The sequence below is a fragment of the Homo sapiens genome, chromosome 12 (genome assembly GCF_000001405.40).
Source record: "Homo sapiens chromosome 12, GRCh38.p14 Primary Assembly".
NCBI lineage: Eukaryota > Metazoa > Chordata > Mammalia > Primates > Hominidae > Homo > Homo sapiens.
The window spans coordinates 119,590,045-119,607,141 of record NC_000012.12 but is presented as its reverse complement, the minus strand read 5'-3'; the positions used below and the strand labels follow the sequence as shown (position 1 = coordinate 119,607,141).

The 17,097-nt window shown below is 44.0% G+C and overlaps 1 protein-coding gene and 1 long non-coding RNA gene across 11 annotated transcripts in view, besides 1 other annotated feature; one reads left to right on the top strand and one right to left on the bottom strand.

The window, feature by feature from the left end:
* The window catches only part of TMEM233 (transmembrane protein 233), a 60,522-nt gene extending 47,154 nt beyond the window's left edge, over positions 1–13,368 (bottom strand). For all 7 annotated transcript variants that reach the window (XM_011538329.3, XM_011538330.3, XM_005253881.4 and 4 more), the window contains exon 1: positions 13,108–13,368. In XM_011538329.3, coding sequence (XP_011536631.1) covers positions 13,108–13,293 — 186 coding nt within the window. In that variant the 5' untranslated portion in view covers positions 13,294–13,368. The remainder of the gene's footprint in view (positions 1–13,107) is intronic.
* The window catches only part of PRKAB1-AS1 (PRKAB1, TMEM233 and CCDC60 antisense RNA 1), a 280,141-nt gene that overhangs the window by 60,986 nt on the left and 202,058 nt on the right, over positions 1–17,097 (top strand). The window contains exon 1 of one of the 4 annotated variants that reach the window (NR_188489.1): positions 12,174–12,960. The exons of the other annotated variants lie outside the window; for them this stretch is intronic. This is a non-coding gene — a long non-coding RNA (PRKAB1, TMEM233 and CCDC60 antisense RNA 1). Of the gene's footprint in view, positions 1–12,173; positions 12,961–17,097 lie in introns of those variants that run through there. 4 annotated transcript variants of the gene reach the window in all.
* Positions 12,807–13,380: an enhancer, noted in NCBI's record as "H3K4me1 hESC enhancer chr12:120031567-120032140 (GRCh37/hg19 assembly coordinates)". NCBI's record gives its function as "activates a minimal SCP1, AML or CMV promoter by ChIP-STARR-seq in primed H9 embryonic stem cells {active_cell/tissue: H9 hESC(primed)}" and the evidence as "EXISTENCE:reporter gene assay evidence [ECO:0000049][PMID:30033119]".

Here is a 17,097-nt window from a genome sequence, read left to right as displayed (position 1 = left end):
GGAAATCATTGTAGACAGTTTGAAATACTTTCCAGCCTTTTCTTCCCCCATGCACGTTCATGCTTTTAAGGGTCAATGAATGGGTATATGGCTACTTTTAATTGATAAAGAATGAAGGATCTCTTTGCACAGACAATTTTGTATTTTGTCCTGTTTTTCCACTTGGCCCTTCACCCAAGCTTTCCCTGTATCATAAAAATTCTTCAAAAGCACTATCCTAACTGTGCTGTAACACTCTATGTTATAAATAGATGGATTATTATTTGGTTTGCCAATCTCCTATTTTGCAATCAATATTTATGTCTCTTTTACATTTACGGCAACAATAATGAATATTAAGCAGTTACTCTGTGCTAGGCACCATGCTTTATGTTTAGGAACTCATTTTATAATTTATGTCATGACTAATGCTGGATGAACATCTAATATGTAAATACTATACTCCATTTAGCTCATGGTTTTTCATTTTAATCTCTTGGTGAGGCTTTCTTTGTATAAACCTTGTGTGTTTCCTAAATTTTTTCGGGAACTTTACATTTTGTTTGCTATTGCTAATGCCAATATTCTGATCTGTTGAGTTCAGTCAATACTGAAATCCTAATTTTAGAACAAATTTTTTTTAGAACATGTTTTTTTCTTCAAACAACGTCTTCTAATTCTTCAAATTTTAGAACATGTCTTTTTTTTAGAACATGTTTTTTATTCTTCAAACCACATCTTCTCTCTTTCAAAACCATCCTCATCATCTTCATTCCTTTATGTCTAGCACATATTTGGTTAGTGAGAAGTGAGTTTTCTCCCTTCTCTGTCTCTGTCTCTGTCTCTGTTTCTTTCTTTCCCAGTGTCCCCTCCTTATACTCCCCTCCATCTGTAGACTTACATAAATTTCTGAACATAGTCTGATACTTTTTTCCACGTGCAAGAAACTCTTTTTAAGTAGATCAATATTGTTTTAAATTCCAAACTCCTAGATAGCAGGCTCCTATCAAAATAGCTTGATGTATGTGGGCACTTAGTAAATATTTTTAGGAATAACATCTGAATTTTTAGACGACTTTGGGATTTCTAGTTTAGATTTTGCTTGCTCCTGTTTCTACACCTAAAAGTCGTGCTGGGCATTCTGAGACTGGGCTTCCAGACTACAAGGTGCATTTCCTCTTCAGCACCGTTAATTCATTCATGCTCGTCTCTCTTCTTCTTGGGCTTTTGGGCTTTTTCTCTCCATAAATATTTTCAGGACAAGTGAGAATTGTCCTTTTGGCTGTCTATGGTTAGAGCCAAAAGCTAGGGAGGAATTCTGCCAGGCTTGATTGAGAGTATTGTATGATGCTTCTTATATTGATGGGGGTAAATCTGTTAAAAGAGAAAGCTTCCAGAACAATCAAAGCTGTTTCCTATCAAAGGGTAAGGCAGGGCCAGATGTTGTGGCTCACGCCTCTAATCCCAGCACTTCGGGAGGCTGAGGGGGGTAGATCCCTTGAGCACAGGAGTTCAAGACCAGCCTGGGCAACATGGTGAACCATCTATACAATAAATACAAAAAAGTTTAGCTGGGCATGGTGGTGCGTGCCTATAGTTCCAGCTGCCTGGGAGGCTGAACTGGGAGGATCGACTTAGCCTGGGGAGGTCAAGGCTGCAGTGACCTGTGGTTGTACCACTGCACTCCAGCCTGTGCAACAGAGTGAGGCCCTGTCTCAAAAAAAAAAAAAAAAAAAAAAAAAAAAAAAAAAAAGGAAAGGCATAGCTGTCTGATTATAATGCTTCATGGGGGTAAGGACTGTCATGGTTGATTTTGTTGGAGAGGCTTACCACATTTCTGAGCCTCAGTTTTCTTAAGGATAAATAAGGAGGAGAGCTTTCTTATGTCCCTTGCTGGGATTTTTGCAAGGAACAAGTGAAATTGTGTCAATATGAAATGCTTTAAAAAGTAAAGACAAATGTATAAATGTTATAATAACAATAGTAATAGAAACACTAAACTACTATAAAAATTACCCACAGCAAAGAACAAATAAAGTTATCAAAAGAGGGAGTAAAATAGAGAAAGTCTCCTTTAGTTGGGGGAATAGAAGATATGATACAAAGGGTAAAGGAAACAGAAAGACAAGTTTCTGAATTTCACCCGTGGCAAAAAAAAAAAAAAGATAGTGAGGGAAGAAGGAAATTAGCAAAAGTTTGGCTACGGAGACTCATTAAAAACACCTAACTTAGCCAGGCATGGTGTCTCATGCCTGTAATCCCAGCACTTTGGAGGCTAAGGCAGGAAGATCACTTAAGGCCAGGAGTTTGAGACGAGCTTGGGCAACACAGGGAGACCCTGTTTCTAAAAAATAATTAAAAAATTAGCCAGGCATAGTGGCTCATGTCTGTAATTCCAGCACTTTGGAGACTGAAGTGTGAGTATCGCTTGAGCCAGAGATTGAGGCTGGAGTGAGCCATGATTGCACCATTGCACTCCAGTCTGGGTGACAGAGTAAGACCCTGTCTCAAAAACAAAAACAAAACAAAAAACAACAAAAACCAACCAAACCAAAAAAACATGCAAGTTGGAAGAAAGGGGGAGAGGTGGGTCTACAATGCAAGAATGTTAAGGATGGAGTACCATGCAATCTTCCCATATCAATAGCAGCTGTACTCATTAAAGTGAGAATCAAAGTATTATTAAGAACAGTATTTCCCAAAATGTGTGCTGTGGCATATTAGCCTTACGATCCAAGAATCCAGGAAAATGCTTAGTAAATGCCCCATACTATATTATTCCATTAAAGAGCCATAATGCACAGGGGTTTGCCAAAGGCTCCGAAAAGCTCCAAAGGAAAGAAAAGACTTAACTTTTGCTCAACTCAGCATTTGGTTTCTCAATTTAATCCTCTCCTGCACCTGTACCTTTTTTGGTAAAATTTGTTATCACCACACACAACTAGTTTTCTGAGAAGCACCATGTTGGAAAGTCTGGCTTAATTCTTGAACTTGAAGACCTGGACATTCTCAGGTATGTTCAGGCTCACATTTTTGGATGAGGGGCTTTGAGCTGAAGAGTGTCCTGCCCTGAACTAACGAGCTGAGAATAAAGACAAATTTCTAAACGTGGACCAACTGGTCTGCAGTGTGAGCATATTGGTGAGCTCTGGACCAGCCAGGAAAATTATCCTTGTGAACCAAGACTTGGCCAACCTCTCAGTGACCCTTGGCATTTGCCTGAGTCTCCTGGATATTTTCCAAAAAAGGTTTTGGCAGGAATGCAGAACACAGTTGGGGAAGGGAAGCAAACCCTCAGAGATAAAGGTAGGAGCAGACTTTGGCCTATGTAGTCATTCATTCATTAATTCATTTATTCATTCATCAAATGTTTGTTACATGTGGACTTCATGCTTGACATTGTGCTAGGTGCTGGGGCTAACAGTGTAATCTTAAGGGCCTCACATACACAAATCAGTGCAAGGAAGTAAAGATGATCCAAGAGGAAATCTGTTTAGAGTAAAGAGGGCACAACCTTGAGTGAAAGAGAGGAGGCAATCAAAAAAGGCTTCATGGAGGAGGTGATTTTCTAGCTGAGCCTTGAAAGAGGAGTGGAGTCTGCATTTTAACAAGATCCTTAGGTGATTAAAGTTCTAGGATGTGAGTCCTACCTGGGCTCACCTTGATGATTATTTGAAGGTATTCTTCAAAGTCATCATTGACATTCACACATAAGCCAGAAATAGTTTTCTTACTATTTAATGACAAGCTCTACCTCAACCACAGCCTTTTTGGCCAACTCATTTAATAGCTGCTGTCTTGTTATCTTATCTGCCACTCATCTGGGCGGATAATGACTTAGGAGGGGAGGTTCTATCTGGATTTCTTTCTTTTTACTTTTTTTGTTTGTTTTGAGACAGGGTCTCGTTCTGTTGCCCAGGCTAGAGTGCAGTGGCGTGATCTCGGCTCCCTGCAACCTCTGCCTCCTGGGCTCAAGTGATTTTCCTGCCTCTGCCTTTTGGGTAGCTTGGATTACAGGCACTCACTGCTGTGCCCAGCTGATTTTTTATTTTTATTTTTATTTTTATTTTTGTAGGGACGGGGTTTTATCATGTTACCCAGGTTTGTCTCGAGCTTCTGCACTCAGGTGGTCCACCCGCCTCAGCCTCCTGAAGTGCTGGGATTACAGGCATGAGCTTCCGTGCCTGGCCCTCTTTTTACTTTTTATTATGGAAAGCTTTAAATGTATACACAGTTTGACAGGGTAATATAATAAAATCCCCATGTTCCCATAACCCAGCTTCCACTGTCATGCATTAGTGGCCAATCTTGTTTTATCTCTATCCCCACATATTATGTTACAACAAACCCAGCCATTACAGCATGTCATCAGTAAATTTAAATGGCTCTTAAAATGTATTTTTTAAAATTAGGAGCACACAGATTTACATCTTGAAATAGACATAGTCTGTACTGCTAATGATCTGAAAGGACTCTAAAAACAGTTTAAATTCTAGGTTCCTAAATACCAAATGTCAGTGGCCACCAAGTGGCAAAACTTATGCAAGTAACTGATGAGGCAGGGCTGCTGGGGAAATGTGCATATTTGCAAAATCTATGGGTATCTGGAATGCGGCCTTCCCATGATGACACACTTCAGACAGGGTCTTCATCATCTGGAACCATCTGAATGCTCTTCAGAGCTTCAAGCAAGAAATTCAAAAGAAATAATTCACAGGGGTCTGTAATTTTAATACGCCATTTCTCAGGTGACAATCTCAGCTGTGGAAAGAGCCAGAGAACATTGGGAGAAGTGACAGGGAGAGATCCAATGAATCAGCATTTGGTGCTCCAACTAGTGGGCAGCGTCAAGCTCTCTGGATCAGTTGCCTGCACCAAGACCTGTTATTTCCAAGTTCACAGACACACATGATCTTCTCCCTACACCTAGCTGAAGTCCACTTGAAGCAGTTTTGACGTGTGAGCAGTCAAAACTATGTTTCAAGCTCTGGTGGAGCTCGGGTCAGATGGAAAAAACACGTGGTTTGTTTTGCTTTTCATCCTGTGAGTATTTACTGACCACTGACCTTATCATCCACAGCAGGTATGGTCAGACTTGGGGCATGGCTGTGGCTTACAGTGCCAGCCCACAACCAGATAATGGGTTGTGATAAAGCCTTCAGGCCAACCATCCATTATCAACTGCATCTTCTGTGGGGGTGAGAGACTGGTTGCCTTGTTTTCAGGAGCATTTCTCTGTCTCTTTTCTATGTTGAATCCCTTTTCCGGATCCTGTGTCCTTTTCTTGACTTACTCCCTTCTTTTTGGGAGGCACATTCGCCCATGACTTTCTGAGAAAAGATGTATGCCAGGCAACTTATTTGAGATCTTAAATGTCTGGAAATGTCTTTATTTTTCTCTCTCCCTTGAACGATTATTTAGATGTGTCTAGAATTGAAGTTGCAAATAATTTTCTTTCAGGATTTTTGAAGTCATCTTTTCACTATTTTTTTTTTTTTTTTTTTTGAGGCGGAATCTCGCTCTGTCGCCCAGGCTGGAGTGCAGTGGCGCGATCTCGGCTCACTGCAAGCTCCGGCTCTCAGGTTCACGCCATTCTCCTGCCTTAGCCTCCCGAGTAGCTGGGACTACAGGCGCCCGCCACCACGCCTGGCTAATTTTTTTTGCATTTTTAGTAGAGACAGGGTTTCACCGTGTTAGCCAGGATGGTCTCAGTCTCCTGACCTCGTGATCCGCCCGCCTCGGCCTCCCAAAGTGCTGGGATTACAGGCTTGAGCCACCGCACCTGGCCTTCACTATTGTTTAGCCTTCAGCATTCCTGATCAGAATTCTGAAGCCATTGTTAGTCCATATGTGGATTAATAATGTTTCCTTTCTTTCAAAGTTTACAGAATTGGAGAGAAATTTTACCCTTGAACCTCTGAAATTTCACCAAGATGTGCCTTGGTATGTCTTGCTTCATTCACTTTATTGAGTACTGGGGGATTCTTTTAATCTGGAAATTCATGCGTTCAGTTCTGGGAATTTTTTCTATATTGCTTATTTGATAATCTCCTCTCTTTAATTCTCTTTGTCCTTTCCTTTTTGTGGAACTTTCCTTTTAGATGTTAGATTTCTGGGAATGAGTATCAAATTTTATTATATATATTCTTGACTATTTTTATCTTTTTTGGAGAATATTTTCCTCCTTTATTTTTTATTGTGGTAAAATATACACAACATAAAATTGACCATTTTAACTATTTTTAAGTATACAGTTCAATGGCATTAAATACATTCACACTGTTGTACAACCATCACCACCATCCATTCCCAGAACTTTTCTATCTTCAGAATTGAAACTCCATACCCATTAAACAGTAACTCCCCATTTCCCTCTCCCCATAGTCTCTGGCAACCACCATTCTACTTTCTGTCTCAAGAATTAGACCACTCTAGGTATTTCATATAAGTGGAATCATATAATATTTGTCCTTTTGTGACTGGCTTCTTGTATTTAGCCTAGTATTTTCAAGGTTCATCCAGGTTGTAGCCCATGTCAGAATTTCCTTCCTTTTAAAGACTGAATAATATTCAATTTCATGTATATAACACATTTTGTTTACCTATTCATCCATCGATGGACACTTGGGTGACTTCCATATTTTCCATCTTTTTGATTTTTACATTACTTCTTCAGCCTCCAGCCTCCCTCAACATTAACTTGCAATCTTTCTCTATTTTTATTTTATTTTTTCAGCTCCAGCTCAAAGGAGCTTCTGCTGTTTTTTTTTTTTTTAATCTACCCACATATTTTTTAATTCCCAAGAGCTCTGTTTTGCTTCTCTGGCTGTTTTATTTTTTTCAGCCGGTTCTTGTCTTGTGGACAGAATATAGTTTCTTATTCTCTGGGGATGCTACTCACCTATTCTTGAAGTTTTCTTCTACATCTTGTATTATTTGTTACCTTATACTTCATTTTTTTTTTTTTTTTGTAAACTGCAGGTCTTTTATTTCAGAAGAGTTTTTCATATGTCTGATAATCTTTAGTTGACTCATCATATTTGAAAGTGAGACACTGAAAAGCTGCTTGGAAGTTTTTTGCATGAGGATGGAGCTTGTTAATGGGTGGGTGGATTGCATCCTCTCTCTGGAGGACTCCTAAAGATTTTTTCTTTTGGACTGGTCACATCCTTGGAGAGAAATTCTCCGATTTCTGTCCAGGAAACCAAGTTGGGGAAGGAGCTTCCTTGTTCAACATTGCAGCTTTCCATTAATCTCGTTTTCAGCTTGGCACCTAAACCCTTCTCTCAGCTGTGCCTGGTGTCCACAGTCATTCTGTTTAATCTTACCAGAGAGAAAATCTCTAATCTTCTGTCTGAGTTGGTGAGGAAGTGGGGGCCTGGCTGTGTGGGGTGGTAGGTGATCTCTGGCAGTTCCACGACTTCATAAACAGACTTTCAAAGATTTTCCCTACCCTTTATTCCTAACATCAAAGGCAGTATCTTCAGCTGGTACCTCCAATTTCTGAGCTTTCCTAGAGTTTTGCAGAGAAAATTGACTTTCTTCTTGTTGGCTACTATTTGTGCAGGATTTAGATTTCAGTGTCATCTACTACGTAAAATTAGTTGATGCCCAGCCAGCTATTTTCCATCGTCTAAGATTTTGTCACCATCTCATTTCTTCTTCTGTTTTCCTAATTTGTTCTTGAGTGTTTATATCCTTTTAAATTCATTTACTACGATTTTTTTTAAAATTCTGGGCACATAGTAAGTGTATACATTTACGGGGTACATGAGATGTTTTGATACAGGCATGCAATGTGAAATAAGCACATCATGGAGAATGGGGTATCCATCCTCTCAAGAATTTATCCTTTACGTTACAGACAATGCAATTACACTCTTTAAGTTATTTAAAAATTACAATTAAGTTATTATTGACTACAGTCACCCTATTGTGCTACCAAATAGCACTTACTATCATTTTAAGTGGTCTTAGAAGGGGTGGGAGCAAAACAGGTATGTTCAATATTTCACGATTAATCGAAAGTCCTCTTTGCTTATTTGTATGTGTTTCAGTTTGGCATTAATATTTACCTTTATGCTGCAACAAATTTTTATTCCAGTGACATGTCTACTACTGATCATTGTTTTATTCTTATCAAATTTGCTAGTCTCAGTAAAAACAGAAAAACTGGGAAAGATAATGGCTTGTATCTCTAGAACAGACACGTCTTCCATCATCTACATCACCATCATCAACATCAATACTTATTGAATTCTAGCTGTATTCTAAGCAGTGACCTGAAAACTTTTAACTTTTATTATCTAATCTCCACAATTGCACTTGGGTAAATACTATCACAACCCCCATTTACAAGGTGGAAAGACCAAGCTTCAGAAAGATCGAGGCACTTGCATAAAATCATAAGCACATCAAAGAAAAGGATTTGAACCTTAATGGTTGGTCTCTAGACAGGTTCTCTAGACAGGTATGTAAGACATCTCAGGCAATGGTGTGCTTGAGAATCTCGACTAGGGGTTGCACCATTCCCCTTGAAGGCATTTAGAAATGTGGGAGCTATCTGTGGTGGTCTCAATGATTTTGGGGTGCTACTGGTATTTGGTGGAAAGACTCAAAGTACTACTGTCCTGCCATGCCATGAATTGTCCCCCAATAAAGGGCAAATCCCCACACACCTATTGGTAGGTGTGAGACAGATGTGCTAATGAAAAGCTTATAAGCCATCCAGTCAAAAGTCATTGGTTATTGTGTATCCATAATTAGAGTGACCAGTTGGTTCAGTTTTGCAAATGATTACATCATGATGTCATCAAGAATTGAGGGTGGGCACAAACTCGTCTTCTGAGTCAGGTAGCAAATTCCAGCTACAAAACCAATAGACAGTGAACTAACCCTAAATTTGCCAACACTCTTGCAACTTGCCTAGAGCCCCACTTCTTTGAGATCCAGGAGGGCAGAGACCTTGCTGATCTTATTTGCCACTTGATAGAGATAAAGGAATAGCTGGAATAGAGCCTGGCACATAATAGATGCTCAATAAGTACATGTTGAATAACAAATAAATATTCTTTCTCCAGGGTCGAGGGCCACATTAGGAAATTATAGGGTTCTTTCACATGGAATAAACAGATAGCCAGGGATGGGTGAGATCATGTTGAATGAGGCCTGAAAGCCAGCTTGTGCTCCTCACCAAGCTATGTGCCCTGGTGGAGGGCTGTGTCTGCATGGAGAAAATGTGCCATATTCAAATTCACACAACGATGCAATATGAGCTACCAGGAACCCAGTCTAGGGGGAAATTCTTGAGACATGCGTCCCTCAAATTGAGGTTAAGTATGCTTTCAATAAACAGACTTTCAATATATAGAGGAAGAAACACTTCTGTGTCCCTGACAATGCTTGACCCATCAACATCCAATACCACATGACATGTTGGACTAGAGCTTGTCTGTAGTGTGCCACCTCCTAACCCCCAGGACCCCAGGACTCCCCTGGTTCTACATGGGGTGGTAGAAAGAACACAGAAATCCACCACTCGAAGAACACTCTTCTTGAATGTGTATTTTTCCAAAGTAGTTTTCTTTGCCAGCACCTACTCTAATTTGGTGATTTTATAGAAAGCTTCTCAGGCTTGGTGTAATAAATATTTAAGCATTGATTGTTTTGAGATTGTTGGCTCTTTTTTTTTTTACCATTCTGGAAACTAATTATTTTGAGCCTTGTCAGTATGTTCCACACATCCATGTTTATATCAATTTGCATCATCCTACAGTGCTTCTTCATTGGGATGGTCTTGGTATTGGGAATGTGCCCATTCTTCACTGGGGGACAGCCCCTAGCATGGCAGACATTAGTACTTCGGCTTTTTCCACCAAATGCCAGTAACACCCCAAATCATTGAGGGCACCACAAATCATAAATTACAGAGAAGTGAGAGTTGAAAATTGCCAGGACTGAACATCACAAGAGACCCTAGGGGAAGCAAACGCCTGGCAGAATTGGTCTCCCACCTTTCTACTGCACATCCTTCCTCTTCCTCTTTGTCCTTTGTCCTTTGGAGTCCTTGTGATGAAACTGATCAAGTCCAGAGCTGCACTATATATCAATGGGAAAAGACTTCCAGTGCAACAGGAAGGGTGTAGGACACACTGTTTAGAATTTCTGTTTGTTTTTATATGTAACATGATATCTCCAGGTTCCAAATCTATACATCTGTCTGACAATTATTGCATGTACCTAGCATAGTGCTAAGAACTAGAATGCTTTGTTTTGTTTCATCCTTACAACAGTTTTGCTCAACTTAAAACAGCTTTCACATTCCCATTTTATAGATGAAGAAACCAAGGCTTTAAAAAGGTACAAAACTTGGCCGGGCGCAGTGGCTCACCCATGTAATCCCAGCACTCTGGGAGGCTGAGGCGGGCAGATCACTTGAGGTCAGGAGTTTGAGATCAGCCTGGGCAACATGGTCAAACCCTGTCTCTACTAAAAATACAAAAATTAGTCGGGCGTGGTGGCCGGCGTCTGTAGTCCCAGCTGGTTGGGGTGGCTGGGGTGGAAGGATCGCTTGAACCCGGGAGGTGGAGGTTGCAGTGAGCCGAGATTGTGCCACTGCACTCCAGCCTGGGTGACAGAGCAAGACTCCGTCTCAAAAAAAAAAAAAAAAAAAAAAGATACAAACTTGTCCATAGTAAACTGTCTCCAGTGGGGGAGGGAATGGGGAAGAGGGGATTAGAAAAGGAAGTTTCAATTCAAAGCATGTGCAAACCTCATCTCCCAGGGCATACCAAGCAGCATCATTAATATCTGACCTGTCACTACCATCTGGAGTGCCAGCTCATTTCAGACCAATGAGGGAAAAAGCCTTTGCAGGCAGTTTTCTAAGTGGCACTGGGAAAGGAGTGAATTGGCTGCTTCATTAATAAAGCAGGATAGAATGTGGGCACCAGTGCCAGCCAGACAGTCTGCTGCTGCCTGGAGAATTTGGCTGCAGCATTGTTTCCAGACTCTCGGCAAAAAAAGTCAAGACCGGATATATGGGGAGAGGAAGGAAGGGAGGAAATTGGCTGGTTGGTCGGAAGGAACCGGATGCGACGGCTTCCGGGCCTCCAGGATGGGAAAAAAAGGTTAATGATTCATCCACACCATTCATTCATGCATGCATTCATTTCATGATACTTATTAAGCATCTACCACGTGCCACATTTTCTTCTAGATGCTGAAGATACAGGAACCAACAAATATTCCTGCCCTTATGGAGCTTATATTCTAATGAGAGGGACACAGACTGTAAACATACAAATAATTAAAATACTATATCAGATGGAGAGAAGTAATTTGGTCAAAAGGTAGCAGGGAAGGAAGAACAGAGCTTGCGCGGGGTGGGTGGATGGGGGTCCTGATTTTAAACAGTAATCACAGAAGGCCTCATGAAGTGACATTTGAGTAAAGATTTTGTAAAGATACCGTGCTGGTCACTGTTCTAAGCACTTTACAATTATTTATGTCATGAATGCTCCCAACAACCCCAAGAAACATGGCTATGATTATTCTGGTTTTACAAAGAGACTGAGGTTCAGAGATGCAGTGACTTCAGAGATCACACAGCTAGAAAGTGGGAGAATTGGGATTTGAATACAGACTTGTCTGAACTTCAGCGGCTGCACGCTTTCATATCGGTGCAGACGCTGTCCACAAACCGGGTTTGGGAAAGGGCAAGTTACGGGTGCAAATGGAGCCTTGCAGGTGCCCACGAATCGAATATGGTGCCACCACCCGTGGGCAAGTGTGGGCGGACTTGATGGGGGACGGGTGGCTAGCGATTTTCACAGCGCTGAATCAGGGCTCTGCGTCTGTGGCCGGGGAGTTCCGTGGCCCAGCTGCAGGCGAGGTGAGCCGGTGGGGGAGGGAGCGCAACTGCAAGGGTTGTCCCGGGACAGTGCCGGTACGAACCTCACCCCGCCGCCACCCCCGGGCCAGCTGCTGCAGTCAATAAGGCGAGGGCCTAGCAGGCGCTCGTCGCCCTCCTGGTGGGGTTCGCTCGGGTGTTCCTACCAGGGTTGAAGAGGGCTAGGGAGCTGAGCTCCGGAAGGGCGGACTAGAGGCCCCAGCGGCCACTCCTAGAGAGGCGGGCAGCTCGGGAGGTCTGAGCGCAGAGGGCGGGCGGAGCCGCACGTTGCGTGGAATCCCCTAGTTCATTCCCGGGAGAGCCCCGGGCGCAGGACAGAGCGGTGGAGGGGCGCCTGGGAGCTCTGGGGGACACCAAGAGAAGAGAGGTTAGGGCCAGTGCGCAGCAAACGGGGAGGAACTACGACGCGCTGGGTAGAAAGAGTAAGAGAGGCGCACCCACTTTGCTGGTGAGGGGGGCACACGGGGAGCCTAAGAAAGGCCTAAAGAGGTAGTGGGTGTGAGCCAGCCTCGGGCGCGTTAAAAAGGGGGCGCCGGAGGGAGGCAAGGAGAGGAAGTTGGGTGTAGGAAGAAGCGAGAGGAAACTGTTGCCTGGACAGAGCGTGCCGTGCCAAAGCGCGGAAACGGGATCAAGGAGGGGGCATCAGGAATCGCCTGGGGACCCCCCGGAGAGTGGCGGAAGCGGTGCCCTTGGGCGCAGCAAAGAGAGAAGGGAGCACAGGCTGAGATAGAGACAGTCCTGGGCGCTGGAGAGCAGGAGCCCCCGGAGCGGCAGGGAAAGGAACGTAGAGCCTGCATGCTCGGGGTATGAGCTTACTGCGCTCGCTAGGGTGGCGCGCACTGGGGCTCTAGAAAAGAGGGTTGAGAAGCCCCGGGCAAGTGCCTAGGAAGGTCAGAGGAGTCAGCAAAGTCCACGGAAGAACTTCCCCGGGTTGGAGAGGAAACGCACCCTGGGAGCTGGAAAGAAGAGGAAAGCTAGCCTGGGGGAAGCTTGATCAGGGCTCTGAGTACCACGAGGAGTGCAGAGGAGGTGCTGATGATTGCGGGGAGAGCTCTGAGAGCCCGAGAAAGGTGAGGAGGAGGTGCGAGGACAAAGAACACCTAGCGCGGGCCGGGCCGTGAGGAAGGGAGCCGCAGAGAGCGCGCGGACTCCCCTGCAGGGGCTCAAAGCCGCCCGGGTCTCTCCTCCCAGGCTGCCTCTGGCCGTGATTCACTCACCATGATGGAAAAGACCAAAGCCACGATGTTGATGGGGTACGCAGGGCAAAAACACGAGACGATGGTGAGCCACAGGTAGTTCTTGGGCATGGGCACGTCCTCCTCGGTCTTGTCATCTTCAGTGTTGGCCTCGGGACTGCTGTCCAAAGCCCTCTTGAAGTCCGGGCTAGGGGCGTACTGAGACATGGGCGAGGCCGGCGGCGCCGGGAGGGCGGAGGAGCGCACGGTCTGTGTGGTCTGGGGCTCTGGCCGCCGGCTTGTGGCGAGGCTCTGAAAAGCCAGCGGCTCGGGGCTCAAGGGAGACGTGACCTCACCCCTTCTGCGTCCTCTGCCAGCACCCGCCCGGGCTCAGGGACCCTGGCCAAGAGCCTCCCCACAAGGAGGAAGGGAGGGAGAAAAGGAGTGAGGGGAGGCGGGGAGGACAGCGGGAGCGTCAGCCTGAGGAACAGGGAACAGGCAGATGAAGGCACCCCACTCCCTGAGATCGTCGGAGGGACGCACAGACTCACACTGAGAAGTCTGGAATAAAAGGAGGCTCAGGGAAGGAGGACGCAAAGGCCCATTAAGTTCCAAATTGGCCAGCCCGTGGGCTGAAGATGACCAGCTCATTTTTAAAAGCCACTTAATTCTAATACATTTAGATGGGACAGGACCAACCCTATCCAGTTGGCAACAGACTCACTACTTCCTCTTGACTTCAACGTTTTACCTTAACTGTCTGGTGCCTGGGCATTTGATTTGTCTCCTGTGCCTCAGACCTTGAACACTGAGCCCCAGGAATTTCTCCTCCCCCCGACCCCCTCCCCCAGGTGGGGTGGGAACCAGGTGCCCAGCTTTGGCCTCAAAGCTTTCCACATTCTACTTGGGGCTCAAGAGACTGGAGTCCAGTATAGTCAGTCAGTGGGCACTGCCCGGTCCATGCCCGTCCAGGTGCCCTCCCCAGTGTGGAAACAAGGAATTCTTCTTTCCACTTTTCCACCTGCAGGACCCCTGGGGAGAAATGCAGGTAGATCAGGCTGGCCTAGGCAACCTAGATGGATGAGTGGGCTGGGAAGAAGAACAAGGTATCCACTTTGGGGACTAGTGTGAGAAAAGCAATTGTATCAGTGTCTAAGCTATTCATGAGAGGGCCGTATGGACCAGAACTGAAGCTTGAATCCAGACAGAACTAGGAAATTGTCACTTCAGGAAAGCCCCTTCATCTTGCTAAGCCCCTATTTCTCCATCTGAAAAAGGGGAAATAATAGTCCCTGCCTCATAAAGTCGTAGTGACTCTTCTATGAGATGGTACATTATCCAGGTCAATCCATGTGCTCAATAAATATTAGCTATTATTAGCATACTATTTCTCCTTATATTCTGAAACATATAGTGCATTATACAGTATCCTAAACTTGATATCCCTTGCTAATATTTCACCAAAAATCCAGGTATTCTGAGCTGCAGGACCACAAAGAAATGAAAATAATTTGATCATGCAGTGTCAAAAGCAATTGCTCACATCATCATACTTGAAACTATTAATCATCTTCTTGGCTTTCTCAGAATATAAGCTGATTGCCTGGGAGATTCTCACTTATCTCATGAGCCATACTTATTTTGTTATCTGCCTCCCTCATTGGACTGCACACTCCCCGAGAGAAGGGGTCATCTGGCTCATCTTTGTGTCAGCATCTGGCACAGTTCCTGGTACAAGGGAGGTGCTTAGTATAGCTTGCTGGGTGAACACACAAAGATGAAATAGTACATTCTCCGCCATGCCTTCTTTCTCATTTTGATGGATTAATAAAATGGGAGTAACTAAAAGATTAGATTCATCTACTGAATTCTCAACCAAGTCTTTGCATTGGCTGTTCCCTCTGCCTCGGCTGTTTTTCCCTGGCTGTCACATGGCTCCTCCTTCTTTTTTTTTTTACTTTGAGTTGGAGTCTCACTCTGTCACCCAGGCTGGAGTGCAGTGGTGTGATCTCGGCTCACTGCAACCTCCACCTCCTGGGTTCAAGCAATTCTCTGCCTCAGCCTCCCGAGTAGCTGGGATTACAGGTGTCTGCCACCACGCCCAGCTAATTTTTGTATTTTTAGTAGACACAGGGTTTCACCATCTTGGCCAGGCTGGTCTTGAACTCCTGACCTCATGATCCACCCGCTTTGGCCTCCCAAAGTGCTGGGAGGCTCCTCCTTCTTATTCCTCAGGTGACAGGTCAAGTCACTTCCTCAAAGAGAGGTCTTCTTGTAGATTATCTAGTGTAGGTCTCCATCCTTATTTTATTCTTGCCAGTTTATTATTTTTTGTGTGTGTAGCGTGTCACAATTGTAATTTATTTCTTTACTTGTTCACTGTTTGTTCTATCTCTAGACTATAGCCTGTCCAACCTGTTCAGAACTATATTTCCAGCACTTAAGAATTGTCCTGGTGCATAGTAGGAATGCAAGAAATGTTTCTTGAATGAATTGACCAAAATTACCTGGATGTATTGAAAAAAATGATTTTCAGGTTTTGATCAAGACCTACTTGGATTAGAATTTCTCAGGTAGCACCCCAGAAATCTGTACTTTTTTTTTTTTTTTTTTTGAGATGGAGTCTCACTCTGTCACCCAGGCTGGAGTGCAGTGGTGCGATCTCGGCTCACTGCAAGCTCTGCCTCCCAGGTTCATGCCATTCTCCTGCCTCAGTCTCCCGAGTAGCTGGGACTACAGGCACCCACCACCACGCCTGGCTAATTTTTTTGTATTTTTAGTAGAGACGGGGTTTCACCGTGTTAGCCAGGATGGTCTCCATCACCTGCCCCTGTGATCTGCCTGCCTCGGCCTCCCAAAGTGCTGGGATTATAGGCATGAGCCATCACGCCTGGCCAGAAATCTGTACTTTTAATGCCTGAGAAAACTGTATTTTTAGAATACTCCCTGGTGATTCTGATGCAACTGAGCAATTTCTCAGATCCCAGTTCTGTCTCTAATTCTTAGGACACAGTCCAGGATCTTTAGCTTGGAAATCCTCTCAGGTGTCCCAAACTCAATGTGTCAAAGAGGAACTCATTGTCTTCCCTAAGAACTTGCTTCTCAAGGCTTGGTCTTTGGTCAATGAACACTGCTCACTTTTCCAATCTCTTCTGCCAAGTATCTCCTTTCTTATTTATTTATTTATTTACTATTTATTTTTTAGAGACAGCCTTGCTCTGTCACCCAGGCTGGAGTGCAGTTGTGCAATCATAGCTCTCTGCAACGTCGAGCTCCTGGCCTCAAGCGATCCTCCCGCCTCAGCCTCCCAAAGTGCTGGGATTACAGGCATGCACCACCATGCCCAGAATTCTCTCCTTTCTTACTGCACTTCAATTACATAGACATTTTTCCCCGTTTCTCTAACATACCTAACCTTTTCCCACCCCAAAGTCTCTGTACCTACTGTTCTTTCCTCCTGGAATGCTTCCTCTCCTCTCTAACTATTGGTTCCTTCTCATCTTCCAGGACCCACTAACTCACATGTTACCGCCTGACAGAGGCCTTCCCTGACCATCATATCTAAAGTGGACCCCATCCTCTTATTCTCCATCCCATTACCTTGTTTATTTTCTATGTCAGACATGGTCTTTTTTATTTATTTGTCTTCTTATTTACTGTCTTTCCCACTAGAAAGGAAGCTCCACAAGGGCAGATATTTTTTTCCATTTTGTTTGCTGTGTTATCCCAAACACCCAGAACTGTGCCTGGCCATTAGCAGGTGCTCAACAGATAATTCATTGAATGAATAAATTGTGAATTTAGTCCTCCAAGTTAGGTACTTGGCAGCATTCTTCTTCTCTTTCCTTCAGCCTCTCCATGAATTATTCATCAAACTATTGATTCATTCTCAAATGTGACTCTTCATTCCATGTCTTCTTTTTCCCATCCTCCTGGGCTTCCAATTCTGGCTCTTATTCACAATGAAAAAGTGCTCTCTGAACCATATTTGTGATCTGAGCCTAATTTATTTTAAAAATATTTGTATTTTTA